Genomic DNA, 27,526 nt, shown 5'->3' on the forward strand with positions numbered 1-27,526 from the left:
GCCTGTAATCCCAACATTTTGGGAGGCTGAGGCAGGCAGATCATGAGGTCAGGAGATGGAGACCATCCTGGCTAACATGGTGAAACCCCATCTCTACTAAAAATACAAAAAATTAGCTGGGCTTGGTGGTGGGTGCCTGTAGTCCCAGCTAATTGGGAGGCTGAGGCAGGAGAATGGCGTGAACCTGGGAGGCGGAGCTTGCAGTGAGCTAAGATCGTGTCACTGCACTCCAGCCTGGGTGACAGTGTGAGACTCCATCTCAAAAAAAAAAAAAAAAAATATATATATATATATATATATATATATATATATATATATATATATATCACAATTCTAAATATATATGCACCTAACACTGGAGCTCCCAAATTTATAAAACAATTACTACTAGACCTAAGAAATGAGATAAATAGCAACACAATAATAGTGAGGTACTTCAATACTCCACTGAGAGCACTAGACAGGTCATCAAGACAGAAAGTCAACAAAGAAACAATGGATTTAAAGTACACCCTGGAGGGGGTGGAGCCAAGATGGCTGAATAGGAACAGCTCCAGTCTACAGCTCCCAGCGTGAGTGACGCAGAAGATGGGTGATGTCTGCATTTCCAACTGAGGTACCGGGATCATCTCAATGGGGAGTGTTGGACAGTGGGTGCAGAAGAGTGGGTGCAGCACACCGAGCATGAGTCGAAGCAGGGCGAGACATCACCTCACCCAGGAAGCGCAAGGGATAAGGGAATTCCCTTTCCTAGTGAAAGAAAGGGGTGACAGACGGCACCTGGAAAATCGGGTCACTCCCACCCTAATACTGCGCTTTTCCAATGGTCTTAGCAAATGGCACACCAGGAAATTATATCCCACGCCTGGCTCAGAGGGCCCTACACCCACGGAGCCTCGCTCATTGCTAGCACAGCAGTCTGAGATCAAACTGCAAGGTGGCAGTGAGGCTGGGGGAGGGGCTTCCACCATTGCTGAGGCTTGAGGAGGTAAACAAAGCAGCCAGGAAGCTCAATCTGGGTGGAACCCAGATCAAGGAGGCCTGCCTGCCTCTGTAGACTCCACCTCTGGGGGCAGGGCGTAGCCAAACAAAAGTCAGCAGAAACCTCTGAAGACTTAAATGTCCCTGTCTGACAGCTTTGAAGAGAGTAGTGGTTCTCCCAGCATGCAGCTTGAGATCTGAGAATGGACAGACTGCCTCCTCAAGTGGGTCACTGACCCCCGAGTAGCCTAACTGGGAGGCACCCCCCAGTAGGGGCAGACTGACACCTCACACGACCGGGTACTCCTCTGAGACAAAACTTCCAGAGGAATGATCAGGCAGCAACATTTGCTGTTCACAAATATCCGCTGTTCTGCAGCCTCTGCTGCTGACACCCAGGCAAACAGAGTCTGGAGTGGACCTCCAGCAAACTCCAACAAACCTGCAGCTGAGTGTCCTGACTGTTAGAAGGAAAACTAACAAACAGAAAGGACATCCACACCAAAACCCCATCTGTACGTCACCATCATCAAAGACCAAAGGTAGATAAAACCACAAAGATGGGGAAAAAACAGAGCAGAAAAACTGGAAACTCTAAAAATCAGAGCACCTCTCCTCCTCCAAAGGAATGCAGCTCCTCACCAGCAATGAAACAAAGCTGGACGGAGAATGACTTTGACGAGTTGAGAGAACAAGGCTTCAGATGATCAAACTACTCCGAGCTAAAGGAGGAAGTTCGAACCCATGGCAAAGAAGTTAAAAACATTGAAAAAAAATTAGATGAATGGCTACCTAGAATAACCAATGCAGAGAAGTCCTTAAAAGACCTGATGGAGCTGAAAACCATGGCACGAGAACTATGTGATGAATGCATAAGCCTCAATAACCGATTCGATCAACTGGAAGAAAGGGTATCAGTGATGGAAGATCAAATGAATGAAATGAAGTGAGAAGAGAAGTTTAGAGAAAAAAGAATAAAAAGAAAGGAACAAAGCCTCCAAGAAATATGGGACTACGTGAAAAGACCAAATCTACGTCTGATTGGTGTACCTGAAAGTGACGGGGAGAATGGAACCAAGATAGAAAACACTCTGCAGGATATTATCCAGGAGAACTTCCCCAATCTAGCAAGGCAGGCCAACATTCAAATTCAGGAAATACAGAGAACACCACAAAGATACTCCTCGAAAAGAGCAACTCCAAGACACATAATTGTCAGATTCACCAAAGTTGAAATGAAGGGAAAAAATGTTAAGGGCAGACAGAGAGAAAGGTTGGGTTACCCACAAAGGGAAGCACATCAGAATAACAGCTGATCTCTCGGCAGAAACTCTACAAGCCAGAAGAGAGTGGAGGCCAATATTCAACATTCTTAAAGAAAAGAATTTTCAACCCAGAATTTCATATCCAGCCAAACTAAGCTTCATAAGTGAAGGAGAAATAAAATACTTTATAGACAAGCAAATGCTGAGAGATTTTGTCAAAACCAGGCCTGTCCTAAAAGAGCTCCTGAAGGAAGCACTAAACATGGAAAGGAACAACTGGTACCAGCCACTGCAAAAACATGCCAAATTGTAAAGACCATCGAGGCTGGGAAGAAACTGCATCAACTAATGAGCAAAATAACCAGCTAACATCATAATGACAGGATCAAATTCACACATAACAATATTAACCTTAAATGTAAATGGGCTAAATGCTCCAATTAAAAGACACAGACTGGCAAATTGGATAAAGAGTCAAGACCCATCAGTGTGCTGTATTCAGGAAACTCATCTCACATGCAGAGACACACATAGGCTCAAAATAAAGGGATGGAGGAAGATCTACCAAGCAAATGGAAAACAAAAAGGCAGGGTTTGCAATCCTAGTCTCTGATAAAACAGACTTTAAACCAACAAAGATCAAAAGAGACAAAGAAGGCCATTACATAATGGTAAAGGGATCAATTCAACAAGAAGAGCTAACTATCCTAAATATATATGCACCCAATACAGGAGCACCCAGATTCATAAAGCAAGTCCTTAGAGACCTACAAAGAGACTTAGACTCCCACACAATAATAATGGGAGACTTTAACACCATACTGTCAACATTAGACAGATCAACGAGACAGAAAGTTAACAAGGATATCCAGGAATTGAACTCAGTTCTGCACCAAGCGGACCTAATAGACATCTACAGAACTCTCCACCCCAAATCAACAGAATATACATTCTTCTCAGCACTACACCACACCTATTCCAAAATTGATCACATAGTTGAAAGTAAAGCACTCCTCAGCAAATGTAAAAGAACAGAAATTATAACAAACTATCTCTCAGACCACAGTGCAATCAAACTAGAACTCAGGATTAAGAAACTCACTCAAAACCACTCGACTACATGGAAACTGAACAACCTGCTCCTGAATGACTACTGGGTACATAACGAAATGAAGGCAGAAATAAAGATGTTCTTTGAAACCAACAAGAACAAAGACGCAACATACCAGAATCTCTGGGACACATTCAAAGCAGTGTGTAGAGGGAAATTTATAGCACTAAATGCCCACAAGAGAAAGCAGGACGGATCTAAAATGGATACCCTAACATCACAATTAAAAGAACTAGAGAAGCAAGAGCAAACACATTCAAAAGCTAGCAGAAGGCAAGAAATAACTAAGATCAGAGCAGAACTGAAGGAAATAGAGACACAAAAAACCTTTCAAAAAATCAATGAACCCAGGAGCTGGTTTTTTGAAAAGATCAACAAAACCGATAGACCACTAGCAAGACTAATAAAGAAGAAAAGAGAGAAGAATCAAATAGATGCAATAAAAAATGATAAAGGGGATATCACCACCGATCCCGCAGAAATACAAACTACCATCAGAGAATACTATAAACACCTCTATACAAATAAACTAGAAAACCTAGAAGAAATGGATAAATTCCTCGACACATACACCCTCCCAAGACTAAACCAGGAAGAAGTTGAATCTCTGAATAGACCAATAACAGGAGCTGAAATTGAGGCAATAATTAATAGCTTACTGACCAAAAAAAGTCCAGGACCAGATGGATTCACAGCCAAATTCTACCAGAGGTACAAGGAGGAGCTGGTACCATTCCTTCTGAAACTATTCCAATCAATAGAAAAAGAGGGAATCCTCCCTAACTCATTTTATGAGGCCAGCATCATCCTGATACCAAAGCCTGGCAGAGACACAACAAAAAAAGAGAATTTTAGACCAATATCCCTGATGAACATCAATGCAAAAATCCTCAATAAAATACTGGCAAACCAAATCCAGCAGCACATCAAAAAGCTTGTCCACCATAATCAAGTGGGCTTCATCCCTGGGATGCAAGGCTGGTTCAACATATGCAAATCAATAAATGTAATCCAGCATATATACAGAACCAAAGACAAAAACCACATGATTACCTCAATAGATGCAGAAAAGGCCTTTGACAAAATTCAACAACCTTCATGCTAAAAACTCTCAATAAATTAGGTATTGATGGGATGTATCTCAAAATCATAAGAGCTATCTATGACAAACCCACAGCCAATATCATACTGAATGGGCAAGAACTGGAAGCATTCCCTTTGAAAACTGGCACAAGACAGGGATGCCCTCTCTCACCACTCCTATTCAACATAGTGTTGGAAGTTCTGGTCAGGGCAATCGGGAAGGAAAAGGAAATAAAGGGTATTCAATTAGGAAAAGAGGAAGTCAAATTGTCCCTGTTTGCAGATGACATGATTGTATATCTAGAAAACCCCATTGTCTCATTCCAAAATCTCCTTAAGCTGATAGGCAACTTCAGCAAAGTCTCAGGATACAAAATCAATGTGCAAAAATCACAGGCATTCTTATACACCAATAGCAGACAAACAGACAGCCAAATCATGAGTGAACTCCCATTCACAATTGCTTCAAAGAGAATAAAATACCTAGGAATCCTACTTACAAGGGATGTGAAGGACCTCTTCAAGGAGAACTACAAACCACTGCTCAATGAAATAAAAGAGGATACAAACAAATGGAAGAACATTACATGCTCATGGGTAGGAAGAATCAATATCATGAAAATGGCCATACTGCCCAAGGTAATTTATAGATTCAATGCCATCCCCATCAAGCTACCAATGACTTTCTTCACAGAATTGGAAAAAACTACTTTAAAGTTCATATGGAACCAAAAAAGAGCCCGCATCGCCAAGTCAATCCTAAGCCAAAAGAACAAAGCTGGAGGCATCATGCTACCTGACTTCAAACTATACTACAAGGCTACAGTAACCAAAACAGCATGGTACTGGTACCAAAACAGAGATACAGACCAATGGAACAGAACAGAGCCCTCAGAAATAATGCCACATATCTACAACTATCTGATCTTTGAAAAACCTGACAAAAACAAGAAATGGGGAAAGGATTCCCTATTTAATAAATGGTGCTGGGAAAACTGGCTAGCCATATGTAGAAAGCTGAAACTGGATCCCTTCCTTATACCTTATACAAAAATTAATTCAAGATGGATTAAAGACTTCAATGTTAGACCTAAAACCATAAAAACCCTAGAAGAAAACCTAGGCAATACCATTCAGGACATAGGCATGGGCAAGGACTTCATGTCTAAAACACCAAAAGCAATGGCAACAAAAGCCAAAATTGACAAATGGGATCAAATGAAACTAAAGAGCTTCTGCACAGCAAAAGAAACTACCATCAGAGTGAACAGGCAACCTAAAGAATGGGAGAAAAATTTTGCAATCTACTCATCTGTCCAAGGGCTAATACCTAGAATCTAAAATGAACTCAAACAAATTTACAGAAAAAAACAAACAACCCCATCAACAAGTGGGTGAAGGATATGAACAGACACTTCTCAAAAGAAGACATTTATGCAGCCAACAGACACATGAAAAAATGCTCAGCATCACCGGCCATCAGAGAAATGCAAATCAAAACCACAATGAGATACCATCTCACACAAGTTAGAATGGCGATCATCAAAAACTCAGGAAGCAACAGGTGCTGGAGAGGATGTGGAGAAATAGGAACACTTTGACACTGTTGGTGGGACTGTAAACTAGTTCAACCATTGTGGAAGTCAGTGTGGCGATTCCTCAGGGATCTAGACCTAGAAATACCATCTGACCCAGCCATCCCATTATTGGGTATATACCCAAAGTATTATAAATCATGCTGCTATAAAGACACATGCACACGTATGTTTATTGCGGCACTTTTCACAATAGCAATGACTTGGAACCAACCCAAATGTCCAACAATGATAGACTGGATTAAGAAAATGTGGCACATATACACCATGGAATACTAGGCAGCCATAAAAAGAAAATGAGTTCATGTCCTTTGTAGGGACATGGATGAAGCTAGAAACCATCATTCTCAGCAAACTATCGCAAGGACAAAAAACCAAACACCGCATGTTCTCACTCATAGGTGGGAACTGAACAATGAGAACACTTGGACACAGGAAGGGGAACATCACACACCGGGGCCTGTTGTGGGGTGGGGGGTGAGGGGAGGGATAGCATTAGGGGATATACCTAATGCTAAATGACGAGTTAATGGGTACAGCACACCAACATGGCACATGTATACATATGTAACAAACCTGCTCGTTGTGCACATGTACCCTAAAACTTAAAGTATAATAATAAAAAAAAGATCATTCTAAAATTTATACAAGCCCTTAGAACAGTTAAAAATATCTTACCAAAAGAAGAATAAAGTTGGAGGAATCACTCTACCTAATATAAAGTCTTACTACATAGCTACAGTAATTATGACAGTGTTATATTGGCAGAGGGATAAATACATCAATGGCACAAAGAATAGATAGAGAAACTGGAAGTAGACCCAAAACAATATGGTTAACTGACTTACGAAAAAATTTCAGAAGCCATTCAATCGAGGAAGGATAGGGTGGTATTGTTGTTTTTTGTTTTAACAAATTGTGCTGGATAAATTGGACATACCTATGGAAAAAAAAATGAAGTTTGACTTAAACATCATACTTTACACAAATATTAACTCAAAATGGAGCATGGGCATAAATCTAAAACTTCAAACTGTAAAACATTTAGAAAAAAATAGGAAAAAAATCATCAGGATCTAGTGTTAGTGGAAGAGTTCTAAATGTGATCCATAAAACAAAAACAAATAAACTGGACTACATCAAAACTAAAAAATTCTACTCTGTGAAAGACCTAATTAAGAGGACAAAAGACAAGCTACAGGCTGGAGACAATATATTTAATCCACGTATCTATGAAAGGACTCATATCTAGAATATATAAACAACCTTAAGAATCTGACAGTAAAAAAAAAAAATCAGACTAACTGGACCACTCATACATTGCTGATGGAAATGTAAAGTGGTACAGCCATTTTGGTAAACATCATTGCTCTCTGACAAAGATACGGTGGGTCCCACTGATGAACTGTGCTGCCACAGTAAATGTAGCCACTATGCCTATCTCCATTCTGAAGATGTGTCACTTCCTGTTTCAGACTCAAATCAGCCACAGTGGCAGAAGCCCACGAAATCAGAGGTGAAATTTAATAATGACCACTGCCCATTCTCTTCACTTGTCCCAAGAGGCCATTGGAAATAGTCCAAAGACCCATTGAGGGAGATGGACATTATTTCCCAGAAGTAAATACAGCTCAGCTTGTACTTTGGTACAACTAATCGACCTTACCACTTTCACAATCTGCTAGCAAAGGTTATGCAGCGCGTGAACATGATCATGGCAGAATCACCAGGCCTCATCACCATCTGCCTTTTAGGATATCTACTCAGTGCTGAATGTACAGGTTTGTTTCCTTTTTTAAAATACATTGAGTATGCTTGCCTTTTAGATATAGAAATATCTGATGCTGTCTTCTTCACTAAATTTTGATTACATGATTTGACAGCAATATTGAAGAGTCTAACAGCCAGCACGCAGGTTGGTAAGTACTGGTTCTTTGTTAGCTAGGTTTTCTTCTTCTTCATTTTTAAAACTAAATAGATCGACAATGCTTATGATGCATTTATGTTTAATAAACACTGTTCAGTTCATGATTTGGTCATGTAATTCCTGTTAGAAAACATTCATCTCCTTGGTTTAAAAAAATTAAAAGTGGGAAAACAAAGAAATAGCAGAATATAGTGAAAAAAAATAACCACATTATTTTTGTTTGGACTTACCACTTTGAAATCAAAATGGGAAACAAAAGCACAAACAATGGCCTTATTTACACAAAAAGTCTGATTTTAAGATATATGACATTTCAAGGTTTCAGAAGTATGTAATGAGGTGTGTCTCTAATTTTTTAAATTATATATCTTCAATTTAAAGTTTTAGTTAAAACATAAAGATTAACCTTTCATTAGCAAGCTGTTAGTTATCACCAAAGCTTTTCATGGATTAGGAAAAAATCATTTTGTCTCTATGTCAAACATCTTGGAGTTGATATTTGGGGAAACACAATACTCAGTTGAGTTCCCTAGGGGAGAAAAGCAAGCTTAAGAATTGACATAAAGAGTAGGAAGTTAGCTAATGCAACATATATCACTTTGTTTTTTCACAACTACAGTGACTTTATGTATTTCCCAGAGGAAGGCATACAGGGAAGAAATTATCCCATTTGGACAAACAGCATGTTCTCACAGGAAGCATTTATCACACTTACTTGTCAACTTTCTAGAATCAAATCTAGTAGCTGACAGTACCAGGATCAGGGGTGCCAACCCTAAGCACCCCCAGAAAGCTGACTGGCCCTGTGGTTCCCACTCCAGACATGATGTCAGCTGTGAAATCAGACTGAAATGCTGAAATAACGATAAAAAAAAATACAGAGGTTAAACTAGCAAAGTGAGTAAAGTCAAGGGATAAAGAAAATTTGTTGGAAAACTCACAAAGCAGGACATAAAGCAAGGCCATTAGATATATCTCATTAGTGTGACATCTGGGAGGACAAAGCATCCAAACCCTTTCTTCTATATAAGTGGTGAGATGATGAAGGTTGTAAGAGGGCTTCTGCCCCCTTGAAGACTTCAGATGCTGGGGAAAGGATAGATAAGAATAAGGATGAACCAGGCTTTTGGAGCCTGGGAAATAATGACTAGCGATAAACCTGAAGGGAAGTTAAGTATACGATCCCCAGATAATACTAAGGAGAAAGGCAATGTGATTCTGCAGCCATTGTAGCCAGAGATAATAAGCCCTTGAGGAAGGGGCCAGGGGAATTTTTCTAAGGATAGACAGTATTAATGCAGCACTCTCTTCTGCTATTAAACTCTCATTGGCTTCTAAAAGGAGTTTCGGTGAGTGATTTGCTGAGATGTTGCATTTTCATGGCTGCTGCCTTTAGGTATTATTGCAACAGTTTGGAATTTTGAAATTAAAACAGTTCTGTAAAACCAGTTTAGTTTTGTAAAGTGTATGCATCAAAGATGTCCTTCATTCAGACATTACTGAGTTACAACTATGGTGCCAGGTACTGTGTCAGGGTACTAGGGGTATGGGGATAAACCAGACTCCCTCTTTGATCTAAAGCAGCATGAGGCCAGGTGAGAGGTTTCAATATAATGTGATAAAATGTGCACTAGGTACTAAGGGATCATAGAGAAAGGAACACATTAAATGGGGAAACAATTGATAGAGAGAGAATATTTTCATCTGGGTCTTAAAAGATGAGTAGGCGTTCTCTCTCTTTAAATGTCTGATATAAGGGCATTTTATGCAAAGAGGATCACTCGTGCAAAGACTCAGATTTGCAAGAACGTGAGGTATTTCAGGAGTTTTGTATGGTTCCATATGGACTATGACAAGTGAGACAGGTAAACTAGGCAGAGCTGGTCATCAGATAATGAAGTCATTAACCTAAGGAGATTGGACAATAAAATGCAATATGGAGGTATCGAAGTATAAACATAAGGAGTACCACTGATGGCTGATTTAGGATGCCCAGTCTGGCAACACGCTAATGAAATGATAGTGGGGGAGGGGGCCGTACCAAGACTAGGAGAGAGCAGTCCTGAGACTATTGCAATTATCTGCGGGAGACATAAAGGCTAGAACCTGAACAGTAGCAGTACAAAAAAAGAGGGGAGTTCAAATGATATTAAGGAAGTAGAAGTGGTATGACTTAACCATCTGGGTATGGAAGGGGAAATGGCTAGAGTCTTGGGGACTTTGTGTTTGATGTGATTATGGACCACAGAATAATGTCTAAGAGAACTGGCTCTTTAGTCTGACTGCCAGAGTCTGAATCCTGAATGTTTTAGTATGTTACCTTGGGCAAAGCCCTTAGCCTCTATGAATCTATCTTCCTCATTCATAAAAATAAGATGACAGTGCCTATCTCGTGGGACTTTTGTGAGGATGAAGTGAGATAATGGATGCAAAGTTACTGAGCACAGTGTCCAACACAGCAGAAGCATTACATATACATTAGCTATTACTGGCTACATTATGATATACAGTTAGGGAGTTGGAAAGATAATCTGAAATTCAGGAGACGTATCTGACTATAGGTGAGTATTTGGAACTCATTGTTCTGTAAACAGTAGTTACAGCCACGTGTGTGGGCATCTGGAGAGTGAGCATGGATATTGTGATACCTAGTACAGTGCCTGGCAGTAGTGGTTGTATGCTCAGTAAATTTTGTTGACAGGGTCAGGGCCGGACTAGACTGTGGTAAGCAAGGCCTGTAGGGCATAAATATACTTGTATGCCCCGAGAAGTGAGGACCTCTTAAATATTGTGCCCTACATGCCTTGTTTGGTTCACTCTTGTCCCAGCCCTAGCAAGTATATATAAGGTGAAAAAGGAAAAAGCTGAGGCTGGAGCCTGGGAGAACCCTGGACATTTAAGGGCCATGGAGAGGAACAGGAGTTAATCAATTCAAGTGCTGGATGGATAACAGGAGTTAGAGCAAAGCGGGGAACCAGAATAGAGTGATTATTATAAAAAGAGTTTCCTAAAAAGGGAGAGATCAACAATTAGAAATTATTTAGAGCAGCCAGTAAATACATAAACTCAAAATTATTCTTTAGGTCATTCCTGATTGTGACAATAGTCATTTCATTATATAAATGTGATTAAGGAAGGAAAAGAGCTACACAGAAGTTATTAAAGAGCTAAAGAGAATTGAGAAATTTAAAACAGAAGAAAGTAGGGCCAACATGAAAGGAGTAGGGAGAAAAAGAGATAACCAGCATATTGTCTCACTGATCCTGCCAACACCTGTGAGATAGATATTCTTATTATACTACTGTTAAACCTAATTTACATTTGACAAAGTTAAGGTTCAGAGCTTGTGTGACTTGTCCAAGGTCACAGGTCTAGAGGAGGCAGATACTTGATTCAAACCTATTTCTGTCTGATCTGATTCTAAAGTCTGTTTTTTCACTCAACCACACTGTACAGTCAGCTCTCCTTGTGAGTTCCACAGCCACAGATTCAATTAACTGCAGATCAAAAATATTCAAGAAAAAAATGGATGGTTGCATCTCTACTGAACATGTACAGACTCTTTTATCTTTCATTATTCCCTAAACAATACAGCATAACAACTATTTACATAGCATTTACATTGTATTAGCTATTAAGAGAAACCTAGAGATGATTTAAAGTACAAAGGAGGATGTGTTTAGGTTATATGCAAATAGTAAGCCATTTTTATATCGGAGACTTGAGCATCCACAGATCTTGATATTTGCAGGGGGTCTTGCCACCAATTTTCCATGGATACTGAGGAACGACTGTAAATGGATGCAGGCATGGATGCTATTTAGGAGTGTCCAGGGCCAAGTAAATGAGTTGCTGAGCAGAGAGGTGGGTGGAGGCTGTGAGGCATCAATATGTGGTGGCATCCATCTGCATTTTGGTGATTTTTTTCCTTCACAGTCCTCGGCTGTCTGGGAAGAGAAGGATGAAGGCAGATGGCTGCTCCAATTTAGGGGCTAGGATTGCAGGGTGGGCACAGCATTGCAAACGAGTGAAGGAAATTGAGAAATATGGCCAATGAAGAGTTGAAGAGAGGCCTGGCATGGTGGCTCACACCTATAATCCCAGCACTTTCAGAGGCCCAGGCAGGCAGATCACTTGAGGTCAGGAGTTCGACACCAGCCTGGCCAACAAGGTGAAATGGTGAAACCCCGGCTTTACTAAAAATACAAAAATTAGCTGGGCATGGTGGCGGGTGCCTGTAATCCCAGCTACTTGGGAGGCTGAGGCAGGAGAATAGCTTGAACCTGGGAGATGGAGGTTGCAGTGAGCTGAGATCGCACCACTGCACTCCAGCCTGGGCGACAGAGCAAGACTCTGTCAAAAAAAAAAGAGTTGAAGAGAAAAAGTCTAGGCTAAATTCAAAGAAAAAAAGTGAGCCCAAAAGGAACTTGCAGAGCAAGGGAAAAGCAGGGATGTCAAGGGACTAGAACACTCCATAAAGTGAACAGCTGCAATGAAAATAAGGGAAGAAAGTTTAGTTCATCTCCGTTTCTTTCCTTTCCTTTTTACTTTCCTTTCTCTTCCTTTTTGGAGTTAATCAGGAAGTAGTCCCAAATACCCCAGAAAGTTCATCTTATAAGCCCTTGGTCCTCTTGAGATGGTATCAGATATATTGCTAGACCCTTGAAGAAAGGAACAACTCCAGGCAACTTCTTGAGTCCCTGTTATTAATTTTATACATACACACACATATATGTATATACATGAAAACACACAAACACATGTGTGTGTATACAGCCATGCATTCCTTAACAATGGGGATATATTCTGAGAAATGTGTCATTAAGCAATTTCATCATTGTGCGAACATAATAGAGTGTACTTACCTAAACCTAAATGGTATAGCTTACTACATACCTAGGTTGTATTGATGTGGCCTATTGCTCCTAGGCTCCTGGGCTGCAAACCTGTACAGCATGTGACTGTACTGAACACTGTAGGCAATGGTAACAGTGGTATTTGTGTATCTAAACATAGAAAAGGTACAGTGAAAATACAGTATTATAACCTTATGGGACCACTGTCGTATAATGTGGTCCATCATTGACCAAAATGTCATTGTGCAGCAAATGATTATCTCATATATATATATATATGATATGATATATATGATATATATGTGTGTGTATATATGTATACATATATATGTGTACATATATGTATACATATATACACACACATATATATGTACACACATATATGTATATATATGTACACACATATATGTATATATATATGTACACACACACACATAGAGAGAGAGAGAGAGGAGAGGAGAGGAAGGAGGGAGGGAAGGAGAAATATGATTCAGATAGAGACATCTATCCTCCAGAGTTCAGGAGTGTCTCTTCAGACTAGGTAGATGTAGCTTAAAAAAAACATATCCTGAATTCTAGAGAGATGCTTAAATCACTGCAATTCCTATAACACTTGCCAACCAAAGGTGCTGTTGATCTGAAATTGCTTTTTTAAATTAATGCAGTGATTTTTCTTTAACATCTAGTGACAGACACTGGGGTCACATTTGCAGCTGGACCATAATTAGGCTTCTGTTCTTCAGGAGACATTTGTTCAAAGTCATTTGGGCAACCATATTCTGAAAACAGCCCAGCCAGGGTGATGGATCACTTTGCAAAGATCCTCAATGAGCTATTTTCAAGTGATGACAAAGTGTGAAGTTAACCGCTCATTTGAGAACTTTCTTTTTCATCCAAAGTAAATTCAAATATGATTAGAAATCTGACCTTTTATTACTGGAATTCTCTTGACTAAAAGTAAAATTGAATTTTAATTCCTAAATCTCCATGTGTATACAGTACTGTGGGAACATCACAGATTTTGGCTCCATGCCCTAAAGAGAAATTGGCTTTCAGATTATTTGGATTAAAAACAAAGACTTTCTTAAGAGATGTAAAATTTTCATGATGTTTTCTTTTTTGCTAAAACTAAAGAATTATTCTTTTACATTTCAGTTTTTCTTGATCATGAAAACGCCAACAAAATTCTGAATCGGCCAAAGAGGTATAATTCAGGTAAATTGGAAGAGTTTGTTCAAGGGAACCTTGAGAGAGAATGTATGGAAGAAAAGTGTAGTTTTGAAGAAGCACGAGAAGTTTTTGAAAACACTGAAAGAACAGTGAGTATTTCCACATAATACCCTTCAGATGCAGAGCATAGAATAGAAAATCTTTAAAAAGACACTTCTCTTTAAAATTTTAAAGCATCCATATATATTTATGTATGTTAAATGTTATAAAAGATAGGAAATCAATACCAAAACACTTTAGATATTACCGTTAATTTGTCTTCTTTTATTCTTTATAGACTGAATTTTGGAAGCAGTATGTTGGTAAGCAATTCATTTTATCCTCTAGCTAATATATGAAACATATGAGAATTATGTGGGTTTTTTCTCTGCATAAATAGATAATATATTAAACTTTGTCAAAAGGACTCAGAAAGATCAGTCCAACCCTCTAACCCATATTGAATGGTGATATACTACAGGGTTATGCCAGTGTGGGAACTATCGCTGGTAAATAAGTTTAATCCTCCCTAGGGCTTCACAAAGAACATTGTTCCACCCCAGGAGGGTGGAAGGAAGAAACTGAAATGATTGTGTCTTAGAACCTAATGAAAGTTTGCATTCCTCAGTAAAATCAGAGACTGCTGATTGACTTAAATGTTTATAGCTTCAAAGTCCTCCTCATTATCATGGCCCACAAGCCCTTCCATGATTGTCCTTCCCCACCCTCCCCATTACCCTTCTTGCCTCCTCTGCTACTTCTCTCCTCGCACACTGGGCTCCAGCCACCCTGGCCTTCCTGTCACTTCTTGCACACTCTAGGAATGCTCCCACTTTGGAGGCTTTATCTGGCTGTTTCTCTTATTTGGCTGTTCCCAACTTCCTGTGGGCTGACTCCCTCACCTCCTTCGGGTCTTTGCCCAAATGTTACCATCTTAATGAGGCCTACCTTCACCATCTATTAATACTTCAACCTGCCCCAGTAGCCTTACCACTCTAGACACCTGTACAGAACTCCACTCTACTTTTTAACAGAGCTTTTCACCATCTAATGTATCATATAATTTCTTACTCATACTATTTATCATTTATTTTCTCCTACTCCACTAAAATGCAAGTTTCATGTTGGCAGGGATATTCAATTGTTTTGTTTATTGATATATTCCTAGCACCTAGAACAGTATCTGGAAAAGAGGTACTCAGTAAATATTTATCAAATGAATTGACCAAAAGAAGGAAAACTCAAAACTTTAATGACAACTAACTTTAAAGCTACAATAACTTAAAATTCAGCAGTAGGATTTTGAGGGAGGGTAAGTTTCAAAGATTGACTTACCTAAGACTATCTGCATAAATAAAAAGAAATTAATCCAGACAACAAATTCACCAACTTCCATCAATTGGAAATCCAATTCTATTTTCTACAGTTTATGTTCTGGAGACACTACTGGACACTCTTTTACTCTCATAACTCATAACTCCTCCACTTTTGTTTTTAAATCATGAGAGAAAAAGAGTTGACTCTGTTATATTGTTTTATCTACCTTTCCTTGATCTTAGAAACGAATACTACCATACCAGCTTCTACTGAGGTGCCCCCTAAAGTTAGTCCAAATAGGTCTTTGCAATCTCCATTCCCGCAGAATTTAGAACTTTGAATCACATGATTTATTTCTAAAAGTAAATCCATGCCGATTTTCCCCACCAAAAAATTCCTGACTATTAAACTCCTACAATCCCTTCATTGCTCACTCCCCACCCCCAGGATCATATTTTAAAGTTGGGCCCTTGCCTTTTGGGTCACATAGGTACACTGTTTGCTATACCACAGGTATAGCTATCTGGAAAACATGGAGGGTATTATTCTGTTACTACTGCTTCGTCAACCAAAAAATAAAACAAAACAAGAACAAAAAAGAAACAAACTCCCTGCCTCTTTTCACTTGCAGTCAAGGTTCCTAACCACTACAAAATTAGCCTATGTTTCTTCTTGCACATAGTAGAAACCCAAGCTTCTCACTGCTGTGCTATTCTGTACCATCAACTCATCACATAAAGAGCCTGGTTGAAGAATGATTGTCCAACCACATTACTAGCATCTGTCAAGACTTTCCAGTTTACAAAAGGCCTATCACATTTAACCCTCACACCATCCTTGTGACCAAAGCATTATTAACTCCATTTTACAGGAGAGTAAACTGAAGCTTAGGGAAGTTAAAAGAACTGCCAAAGGTCTCCCAGTTGGGGAGTCATGAAGCCCAGAAGAGAAGCCAAATTCTCTGCTGCTCAACCCCTTGCTTTCACTATTACACCTCAGGGCCTTCAAATCTAAATGCAGTTATTCATTAAACAGGAACCTGGTAGTCTTAAACAGGAATCTCTCACTTGGTAAGATCTTGTCTCTTGTTGTATTTGACCCCAACTGTCTATGGCTTTGCCTGAACCCAAAGTACACACAGCCTAGAAACCAAAGGAGAACCAAATGTGGGATAAAATGACACTCATTTTAACGACATGTCTCAGCAAATGAGTTCCTGTGTAGCTGGCTGAAAGCCCAGACCCTTTCAGTAAAACATCCTGAATAATTCACATTTGTTGGTCTATAATATAAAGGGCAAATGTAGCTCATTTTTAGACCAGTTCTGAACATCAATAGTAACAAACCAGAGATAACCGATTTTGTTTTCATAGAATTGGAACAAATTAGAGTATCTGTGCAAAAGCATATCAGATCTAGGAGCAGAGGGGACAAGGTCTAATTTTTAAATAAGCAAATTTTCCAGGGAGGGACTACTTATGATAAAGGGATATTAGTCTCTTAGTCAACGGAACCTGGATACACGCTTCTGACAGAGAAGAGGGAGAATAGGCAGGAATCTACACACCAGATGTCAAGGAGATTTGCTTTAAAATACGACTGATAATTAGAAATTTCTCAGTTTCCCCCTTTTCCCTCATTCTTTGATTCTTATTGTTATCTTTATCTCTTACTCCTTTGTTTCTCATATATTGAGTCTTACAGATCAAGCTCCTATTTTTTTCTTCAGGGGTATTTTTCTAGTTCAAAGTGCCTACCATCTCCCTTCTGGTTCTATTCATCCTTCTCTCCCAAAGCTCCTTTAGAAGTGTGGATTAAGGCAGAGCACTAAGAAACCAGACTTAAAGATTCCCTTCTCATTCTGACTTTTCTCCTTTCACCTATTCCTTCCTCCTGTTTTCTTACCATCAGTGTCTTCAAAGGCTTTCAAGTACACGGTAAATGCAGAAACTTCAAGAAAGGCAGAATGGAAACATAACCAATGCATACATAAATAAAGCACACTGTAGAATCTTTTTAAATTCTGTATGATATATCGAATGCTGTCTCTCACATTACCTAGACCATTTGAAACCGAATTTGTAAAACATAGACTATCTTTAAGTAGTAACAGATGCTTCTGACATGTTTTCTATTGTCTTGAACCATTACTGCATATGATACATCAAAGTTAAGTGACAATACAAGAAAGCAGATTCATTTGCTCCCTGCCTAGGCCGTCAGTTCCTAAAGTGGAAACGCCATATATTATCTAGCTCAGTTTGCTCTACAAGACCTGCAATAGAGCCTTGTGTGACATAGAGATAATATTTGTTGAAGCAATTAAATTTGACTTGGAATTAACTCTGCCATCATTCTATAAGGAAGGATTGAAAATCCTTCTCACCCTGTGCTGATATAGTACCTTTCTATACAAAAACGTCCTTCTCCCTCTTCCCTTGGATTGCATAAACTATGTACATGCCTTCCTCAGGGCACTTTTCTAGGACAGTGTCAGCCTAAGGATCTTTGTTTGGGTGGCTTTTAGAAACTCAGGAAGACAGGAGCATCATATGCCTATAGGCAGCTGGCTTCCAGGTCAGTAGTTTTGCTCTGACCCTAAAATCAGACTCCCATCCCAATGAGTATCTACAGGGGAGGACCGGGCATTCTAAGCAGTTTACGTGCCAATTCAATTTCTTAACCTATCTCAAAGATGGAGATCAGTGTGAGTCCAATCCATGTTTAAATGGCGGCAGTTGCAAGGATGACATTAATTCCTATGAATGTTGGTGTCCCTTTGGATTTGAAGGAAAGAACTGTGAATTAGGTAAGTAACTATTTTTTGAATACTCATGGTTCAAAGTTTCCCTCTGAAACAAGTTGAAACTGGAAAATGCAATATTGGTGTATCATAATTTTTCTTAAAAACATACCTTTGATGCTTATAAACATTTCATTTGTAGTGATAGTTTTCAGGATATGAGTTCAAGAAGCTACATTAAAATCAATAACAATATTTGGTAACTAATATTAAGTAATAATGATGTTCCACTCACTTATTAATCTTTAATACAACCGTATGTGGTTAGTACTATCATTATGCGCATTCTATGCAGATGAGAAAACCGCAACTCCAACGGCCAAAAATTACAGAGGCATAAATGGTTTAGACAGGACTTAAACTTCAGTGTGACCAAAACCCATGCTTCTAACTACTATATTCAAAACTCAGAGAAAACTGAACCCAGAAAATTGAAATCATGACTAAATTGCTATCAACATAGGTAGTGAAAGTCAATTAAGTACAGAACTGGAGTATGACTGGCCAATTATCCCATATAATGGGAATTCTCCACATGTACAAACCACTTCATATGCTAAACTTGTTGACAACATTCAAAGCTCATCCCTGAATTTGACTATATTGATTACATCAAAAATGTTACATAGCAACCTTAGAATCCTTGTGTACCTTTTCTTCTCAAAGCCTAGATTATTTCTTTTTCCGACGTTTCAGTAATTGGAGCAGTAAACCCCAGTGTCCCTTACCTACTTGTTTATTACCTCCAGATGCAATATTACTGGTACTGTGATTGAGAAACGCACACAGTGCTAATGAGGAATTCACTTTCTACTCTGACACTCTGGAAGAATAGAGATGCAATCCTAAGGAAGAATTTAACACCACAGGCTACATGACTAAGGATAAAGAGTAGAAAATTAGCAGGACTCTATTAAGGCATTACAGCAATCCACCTGACAGATGAAAAAGGCATGAAATGAAATGAAATGTAGCAGCTACACTCGTCCTATTGAGAAAGGAAAAAAGTCACCTGTAATGTTGTTCAGAAATCCTTTCAGTACTAAAAAATTCATTGACCATCTTCCTTTAGTCTCGAAAATTTCTTAGAAGGTAAAAAAAGGAAAAGGTGACAGGGCAAAGACATTTGAAAAGAAAGAAAAGAGTGAATGAACTTGCACACCTGGCTTGGACTCCCATTCCCTTAGGTTTCCATTGTGGGGGACAAACTAATGCCTGGGTTACCTTTCTTGAGAGTGTGTTAATTGATTCAATATCTCTGAAGTGCTACTTTCATCTGAAAGGTTATAATTTGAAATTCAGATTTACCTGGATAAATTTGATCTTGCTATTATGGAAACCTCTAGAAATCCTTGGAGTAGTTACTCATTATCAGCTTAAATAATATAGCCGGTGGAGCTGAGGGAATGAGTAACTCAATTAGTCTCAGTTACAACTGAAGGGCACATTGTTGTAAACTATAATTGAAAACATAAATATCTTTACCTAGTTTAAAAATAAAGATGCTTTAAAAGGAGGAAGGGAATAGCCCTGAGGAATGTAAATATAAGCACAAAACTTCTACAACAGAGTTTGCTACGTGTGTGGCTGTGTTCCACCCAGCAAAAATGCTAAGTCTACAACTGACACAACTTGGATACTCTCATGTTCCCACATTTTGGTTTGGTCAAGGCTGTGCAGTTGTACTGCAGCCACCACCACTCCTGGCCTCTACAGTATATTGATCTGACCCACCAATCTGATCAAGGTTTAGAAAAATATTTTCAGCCCAGTTAGCTCACAAACAAAATGAGAATTCCCACAAATTGCTCTTTATCTCAGACAACAGAGGAAAGCTACAGCAAAAGCATAAACAAATTACCATTTAAGTTTGTTGCTTCAAATTAAAGACTAATTGCAACAGCTACTAGATAGCACAGTTTATGGGGCATCTCGGCCCCAAGTCTTTTGTCTTATAAGGTCTTGAAAAAAAGAAAGGAGATTTTCATCAATAAGAGTTTTTTGTTATCTTTTTCCCTTGTTCATCAGGCCCTTCACTGCGAGAGAGAGGTGTAAACGTTCAGGGCATGCATTCTAGTTAAAGAATATTAATTGGCTATTGGGTCCCTTTGGTTAGAATAAAGACCTCTGTATGATGTCCCTAGCTGTACATCAAACCCAAATATCTCTCAGATAAATGAAGGTCTGTAAGAATTTGGTCATTCCTGTCTCTTCTAAAGAGTAACAGAGGCATTTTCCCGCAGTAAAGTAGAATGGAAAGAAAACAAAAATCACAAGCCTATAAACACCTTCTTCAATTTTCCCAGCATGTCACAGACACTACTGTCTTATTTACTACGTATTTCTGAGGAGTAAAAAAAGGAAATATGTTGAGTTTAGCTGAAGCACAGCATATTTTGTGGTAAACTTGTTAAATAAAACATCTTTTGTCCAAGCTTTGGTTGTCACACAAGTGGATATATCAGGAAATATAAAGGCAGAATAAACTAAAGCAGAACATACTAACATTTGTAGTAGGCATGAAGGGAATTAGAAAGTGTTTGTGTTAACATGGAGGGAGGGAGAACAGATGCTTTGAGATGTTCTTCAACAGATATTCTAGGCACTGAGACCCCCTTCGGGACCAGAGAGAGCCCATATCCACCACAGTACCTGACACATAAATGCTCAGTAATTGATAAATGAGTCCCATTCTAACTGTTCCTTAGCCCTGCTCTATGGAACTCTCCCCTGGAATTCCTTGTGCCATTATTTTATTTCTGGAATCTTCAGCCTTTTAGCTGAGGGCAAAAGATTGCTGATTAGGAAGCAATATTTCCCACCTCCTGCGCAAAACAAGCCAAAGATCAACAGCAGCAGCAACATACTGAGCCCTAAAGGGCAATGACAAATGTGGAGAATGATACAGAGGTCTGGTTACTTCTTAGCCAATGACACAGAATCACAATTGAGAAAACACAGAGTTTATTCATTCCCATTGTGCATGCCCTGGACAAACCAAGCTGCACCTTTCGTAACTTATCACAATCTCATATTGACGGAACACTTTCTACAGGTAATGTTTGATTTGGCTGAACACTTTAGCATTGCTTCGTAGCAACAAAATGATAGCTAGTAACAGAAAAAGATCCAGGGATATTACCACTGTTAGTGAGGAGAAAGGCCTTTTAATTAATTAATTAATTAATTAATAGGACCAAGTGCCATCTTTTTGGATCATGCCCTTAGTGGATTATTGGTAGCAAAGGTTAAAGCTCAAGCTGGTTCCTTTGTCCCCCTGGCAACAGTTGATTTGCCTCCCTTTATCTCCTGAAGTATCCGTAAGGACTAAGAGCCAATTATTACATTTGGCTATGCTAGCATATGTAAAATAGAGTTTAAAAGTTTAGATTCATCACTCAAAAATTCATATTCTCCAAAACCATACAGTCACTCTGTTAGCCTGTGTTCCCCCAGAAAAAAAGTCACAAGCTTATTTATTAACATGTGCAATCCCAGGGGGCAAGAGAAAGGAACTGAAGAGTGAGGCAGAAAGGAAAAGAAAGCCAATAAGAGGATGAGTTATCAAACTACTCGTTTCTAACAGCAACTGATTGCTTAACTTCCTGGGACTGTCTCCAATAAGTCAAATTGGCCTCAGGTTAGTCCACCTGAGTGGGAAGAAGCGGTGAAAGAATTTGTCTGTCAGTATCTGTCTCTCATTGGTTAGAAGTTCGACTTATGGGGAATTAACTCCCTCACATTTCCTAGTTGGATATGCTTGGGTACCCAGAGGGTCATATGGCATCCATGCCTCAGCATGAACAGGGAAGCTTCAAGGCAAAAGACACATAGTGCAGCTATGAGCCAAGGCAATTCAAGGATACACCCATAGGAGGCTGGTTGACATCCACCCAGAGCTAATCACCACCATGCTGGAAAAAGACACAGGTGAAGCTGAGAAGAATGAAGGTGGTGCATAGGAGGTATCTAATACAGTCACTCATTTTCAAACTTTCCATGTTATGATTGCACTGACCACTGAGGATTTCTATTGAAAGTTTTACTGTTGTCAAACACGTACACAAGGGGAAAGGTGTCTTACATTGTTTATGTTCCTGTGCTGCTCTAGAAACAGAAATAGGCTCAAGAGCAGAGCCTGTTTTTCTTAATTCAGCAGGTCTAAGCTAACAAGTCCTGAAACATGGTACTTCCTGTTATTGGTATTGCATAGGAGAAACAAAGGGAAAGCACAGTAATTAGAAAATACAAAACAAGATGGCAGGAATAAGCCAAAAATATCAGGAAACACAATTATTGTGAATTGGGATTAAACTAATCTATTAATAATGACAACTTTCAGCTTGGAGTTAAAAATTTAATTGTATACTGTTAACGAAAGTGATACCTAAAATAAAATTACACTGGGAGGCCAAAATGAAGGGATGTGAAAAGAACTATCAGGTAAAAACTAACAAAAAGAAACTAGCAAAGCAATCTTAATATCAGACAAAATAGAATCCAAGAGGAAAATCATTTCAAAAGACAAGAGATTTTTTTTATTAATAAGGGGAATTGCATAGGAGAGTAAAGAAAATGTGGGCCACTGGAATGCTTAGCACTAATGACATATTGGTCTTTGGTCTTCAGTTACCTTACAGGACCCTATTTCATTCTCTTATGTTTGATATGTAACCACCTCAGCCAGCTTCAAGTTGCTTTTTGGCCCTAATGGACTTCCTAGCACTATAATTTCTTTTTTTTAAATGTTTTATTTTAGGTTTAGGGGTACATGTGAAGGTTTGTTACATAGATAAACATGTGTCACAGGGGTTTGTTGTACATATTATTACATGACGCAGATATTCAGCTCAGTACCAAATAGTGATCTTTTCTGCTCCTCTGCCTCATCCCACCCTCCTCCCTCAAGTAGACTCCAGTATCTGTTGTTTCCTTCTTTGTGTTTATAAGTTCTTAACACTTAGCTCCCGCTTACAAGTGAGAACCTGCAGTATTTGATTTTTGTTCCTACGCTAGTTTCCTAAGGATGATAGCCTCCAGCTCCATTCATATTCCCACAAAAGACATAATCTCCTTCTTTTCTATGGCTGCATAATATTCCATGGTATATATGAACCACATTTTCTTTATCCGGTCTGTCATTGATGGGCATTTAGGTTGATTCCATGTCTGCTATTCTAACACTGTAATTTCTAAAGACTTCCAGATTCTACTTTTATAGGTAACCTGTTAAACAGTCTAGCTCTGGAAGCCAAGCAATTTCTAGAATAACTAAGCAATAGAAATTACACTTCAATGCAGAAAGGCAGTATCTACATGAGATTATGAAATTGCGGTTGCTTTTTGTGTTCACTGAAAAAAATAAGTAAAACTGTAACTTTCAGAAAAAATGATTGTACATATAGAAAACCCAAAGCATCTAAACAATTAAAATAAATAAGTATAGAAAGATTACTGGATACAGAGTCAACATACAAATATCAATTGTATGTCTATATACCAGCAACGATTCAAAAATGATTTTTATAATAGCATTAAAAATTAGACGCTTAGTAATAAATGTGAGAAAGATGTGCAAGAACTCTACATAAAAAATTATGAGACGTTATTGAGAAAAATTAAGGAAAACCTAAATAAATGAATGAATAGGCAATGTTTATCAATTAAAGGATACAATATAGTAAATATATCAAATGTTTACTAATGGATTCAATGCAATACCAAAGTGCCCAGCAGGCTTTTTTTGGTGGTGGGAGGTCGGGCAGGATTCATAAGCTAATTATAAAATGCATATGGAAATGCAAAGAGCCAAGGATAGCCAAGACAGTTTTGAGGAAGAATAAACTTGTACTACTTACACTACCAGATGTCAAGACTTATTATCGAGTTACATTTATTAAGACAGTGTGGTACTGACACAAGGATAGACAAATAGATCAGTGAAACACACTAGAGTGCTCAGAAGCACACCTGTACATATATAAAGGCTTGATTTATGATAGAGGTGCCAGTGCAGTAGAGAAGGAAATTATTGGTGTTTTCAATAAAAAGTGATAGGTCAATTAGATATTCATATGGCATGAAGTATGAAACAATAACAATTTATATTCATAACTTGCAGAAAGCAAAAATTTCTTAAAATACAAAAAGTGATCACCATAAAGGAAAAGATTGATAAACTGGACTATATTAAAACTAAGGACTCCTGTTCAGCAAAAGACACTACTTCGACTGAAAAGACAAGTCACAGAGTGAGACAAGATATCTGCAATACAGATACCTAATAACTGAACCCCATACAGTGATGGTGGGAATTTAAGTTCGTACAATCATTTTAGAAAATTGCTTGGCAGTATCTACTAGATCTGAACATGTGATCCAGTAATTACACTCATAATTATAAGCCAGTAAAAAGGCATGTTTATGTCACCAAAAGATATATACAAGAATGTTCATTACACTATTATACATAAGAGCCAAAAACTGGAAACAAACCAAATATCCATTAACAGTAGAATGAATAAATAAAAGCTGTAATAGTAATACAGTGGAATACTACACAGCAATGTAAATGAACTACTGCTGTACAAAACAACATGGTTTAATCTCACAGACAAAATGTTAAATGAAAGACACAGACGAGTACATATTGCGAACTTCTGTTTATAATTCAAGAACTGGCAAGAACTGTTTACTGTGTTAGAAGTCCAGGTAATGGTAACCTATAAAAAGGAAAAAGGGTGGAATGATTGGGAGGGGGCATCTTCTGGGGTATTGATAATGTGCTATGTATTGGTCAGTTTAGTGTTTAAACAGGCTCATTTACTTTGTGAAAACTTACACTAAAATTGTGTGTATTTTTTGAATATATGTTATACATTAATAAATAGGGTTTTTAAACCTGTAGTTCATAATTTAGTGAAAGTAGAATATCCAAACATTTAGTTTTAAACCAATCAATTATAGTGCTACCATCATTTTTATGCATTATTGAGAAGTTTATTTTACCTTTCTTTCCACTCTTATTTCAAGGCTCCAAAATTTCTCTCCCCAACGTATATTGGGGGCAACATGAATGCCCCCAATGTATATTTGACCCATACATGAGTCAGTAGTTCCATGTACTTTTTAGAAATGCATGTTAAATGATGCTGTTACTGTCTATTTTGCTTCTTTTAGATGTAACATGTAACATTAAGAATGGCAGATGCGAGCAGTTTTGTAAAAATAGTGCTGATAACAAGGTGGTTTGCTCCTGTACTGAGGGATATCGACTTGCAGAAAACCAGAAGTCCTGTGAACCAGCAGGTCATAATCTGAATAAGATTTTTTAAAGAAAATCTGTATCTGAAACTTCAGCATTTTAACAAACCTACATAATTTTAATTCCTACTTGAATCTGCTTCCTTTTGAAATCATAGAAAATATCAGTAGCTTGAATTAGACCAATTAATTTTCTAGATTGCATCATATTTTAAATATAAACTATGTAATCATCTACAACCTGAATTCTTTCTGTGTCCAATTTGTCCAATTTTTTTCTCTAACATTTATATCACAAAGCAATTAATTTGTGTGATTTCTGCATATGTATTTGTAATTCATCAAGTCAAATCAATGTAGTAATACTATATCATAAAATATACACAAATAATTGAGTGATAGGCTTCTAGTATAAGGACGGTAAGTTTGAAGCATGATTCTATCTGGGCTGGCTAGTTTACTCTGAGAAAGTTATTTTTTATTGTTGGGTCTTAAGCTGAGTTTACACACTTGGTGTCAGAATGATTCCGGCAATGAACTGTTTTATGTTCTGCTAGGCTGATCAGCACAATCTATATGGCTGTGAACAAAACAATGTTTCCCAGTCATGCCAACCATGCCACCATTTTAACAGCTGATTAGTGTATTCAGAACATCTCCACTCCATGTTCGTATGGCTGTTATCTAAAGATGAAAGCAGTAGACACTTTTATTTTTTGAAAAATTTAGGCTCTGCAGGGTCAATTATATTTGATAAATGAGGGGCTTTTTTGAAGCAAACTAGATATAATTTCTTTTGCATTTCTAAAGCCTGATATCTTATTAATTGGTACATTAAATTGTGCACCATTTCTCTGTAACTGTTTCAGTACCTGTCTCAGCACTATACCAGGCAGAAGAAATTAAAGAAAGAACCAGTGCCGAGATCAGCTTGGTCAGGGAGACCCTAATCCTGCGGCACTAGAGGAATTAAAGACACACACACAGAAATATAGAGTATGGAGTGGGAAATCAGGGGTCTCACAGCCTTCAGAGCTGAGAGCCCCGAACAGAGATTTACCCACATATTTATTGACAGCAAGCCAGTCATAAGATTTACTGAAAGTATTCCTTATGGGAAATAAAGGGATGAGTCTGGCTAGTTATCTGCAGCAGGAACATGTCCTTAAGGCACAAATCACTTATGCAATTGTCTGTGGTTTAAGAACACCTTTAAGCAGTTTTCCGCCCTGGGTGGGCCAGGTGTTCCTTGCCCTCATTCTGGTAAACCCACAACCTTCCAGTGTGGATATCAAGGCCATCACGAGCATATCACAGTGCTGCAGAGATTTTGTTTATGGCCAGTTTTGGGGCCAGTTTATGGCCAGATTTGGAGGCCTGTTCCCAACAAACCAGAAGCTAGGAATATATATCCTGCAAATAAAATGAAGAATCTCTAAGGCTTCAGGGCCTGCCCACTTGTTCTTCTGCCTGGTTCTTCACATACACTGTCTCAAAGCTAGTCTACCTTGAGAGGAGCATGAATATGTGTGTGGGTGTGTGTCTGTGTATTTTAACCTTAAAAACCTAACTTCCAGTATAGACAGATGGCATACTAGCTAAACCCTTACAAGTTCTTCTATGCTATAAAAGAGAAACAGAATTGAGAACCACCTCCAACTATTAAGTGTTATATTTGAATATAGCCTTAGCTTTAGCAGAATAAGTAGGCCAAACTTAAAATAAGCTTTTCTGCCTTTTCAATGATAAAGGTCCCTTTTCTGTAGCCATTGTTGATTGTGTACACTTATACATAAGTATTTTGAACTAATTTCCTGTTTTCTCAACCACTTGCTGTCTTCATGATACTTTGTCGCAGCTGGTTGCTATAGAAATGTCTGTTACAAGGAATGTGGCTTGAAGGAAAGTGATAAATGAAAATGAAATGTGAAGTGACTTTGTTTGACTACAAATTCCCATTCTGGTAGTCCCCAGTGTATCAATACATTATTTTTCTTTAGAAAATAAACCAACCCAAGGAAAAATGGTGGGCAGGTCCTGGTGAATATGGCTGTGATAATTATATTAGCAATCTCTTTGGCTAATATTTGAAGCCCAAATAATTGAATCACAATGA

At 38.4% G+C, this 27,526-nt stretch overlaps 1 protein-coding gene across 3 annotated transcripts in view; it reads left to right on the top strand.

The window, feature by feature from the left end:
* Nucleotides 7,703-27,526, top strand: part of F9 (coagulation factor IX) — a 32,721-nt gene continuing 12,897 nt past the window's right edge. The window contains exons 1-5 of one of the 3 annotated variants that reach the window (NM_000133.4): nucleotides 7,703-7,816; nucleotides 13,974-14,137; nucleotides 14,326-14,350; nucleotides 18,040-18,153; nucleotides 25,327-25,455. In NM_000133.4, the coding sequence (NP_000124.1) occupies nucleotides 7,729-7,816; nucleotides 13,974-14,137; nucleotides 14,326-14,350; nucleotides 18,040-18,153; nucleotides 25,327-25,455 (520 nt within the window). In that variant the 5' untranslated portion in view covers nucleotides 7,703-7,728. The remainder of the gene's footprint in view (nucleotides 7,817-13,973; nucleotides 14,138-14,325; nucleotides 14,351-18,039; nucleotides 18,154-25,326; nucleotides 25,456-27,526) is intronic. The other 2 variants (XM_005262397.5, NM_001313913.2) reach the window with 2 other exon arrangements.

The sequence above is a fragment of the Homo sapiens genome, chromosome X (assembly GCF_000001405.40).
Source record: "Homo sapiens chromosome X, GRCh38.p14 Primary Assembly".
NCBI classification, from domain to species: domain Eukaryota; kingdom Metazoa; phylum Chordata; class Mammalia; order Primates; family Hominidae; genus Homo; species Homo sapiens.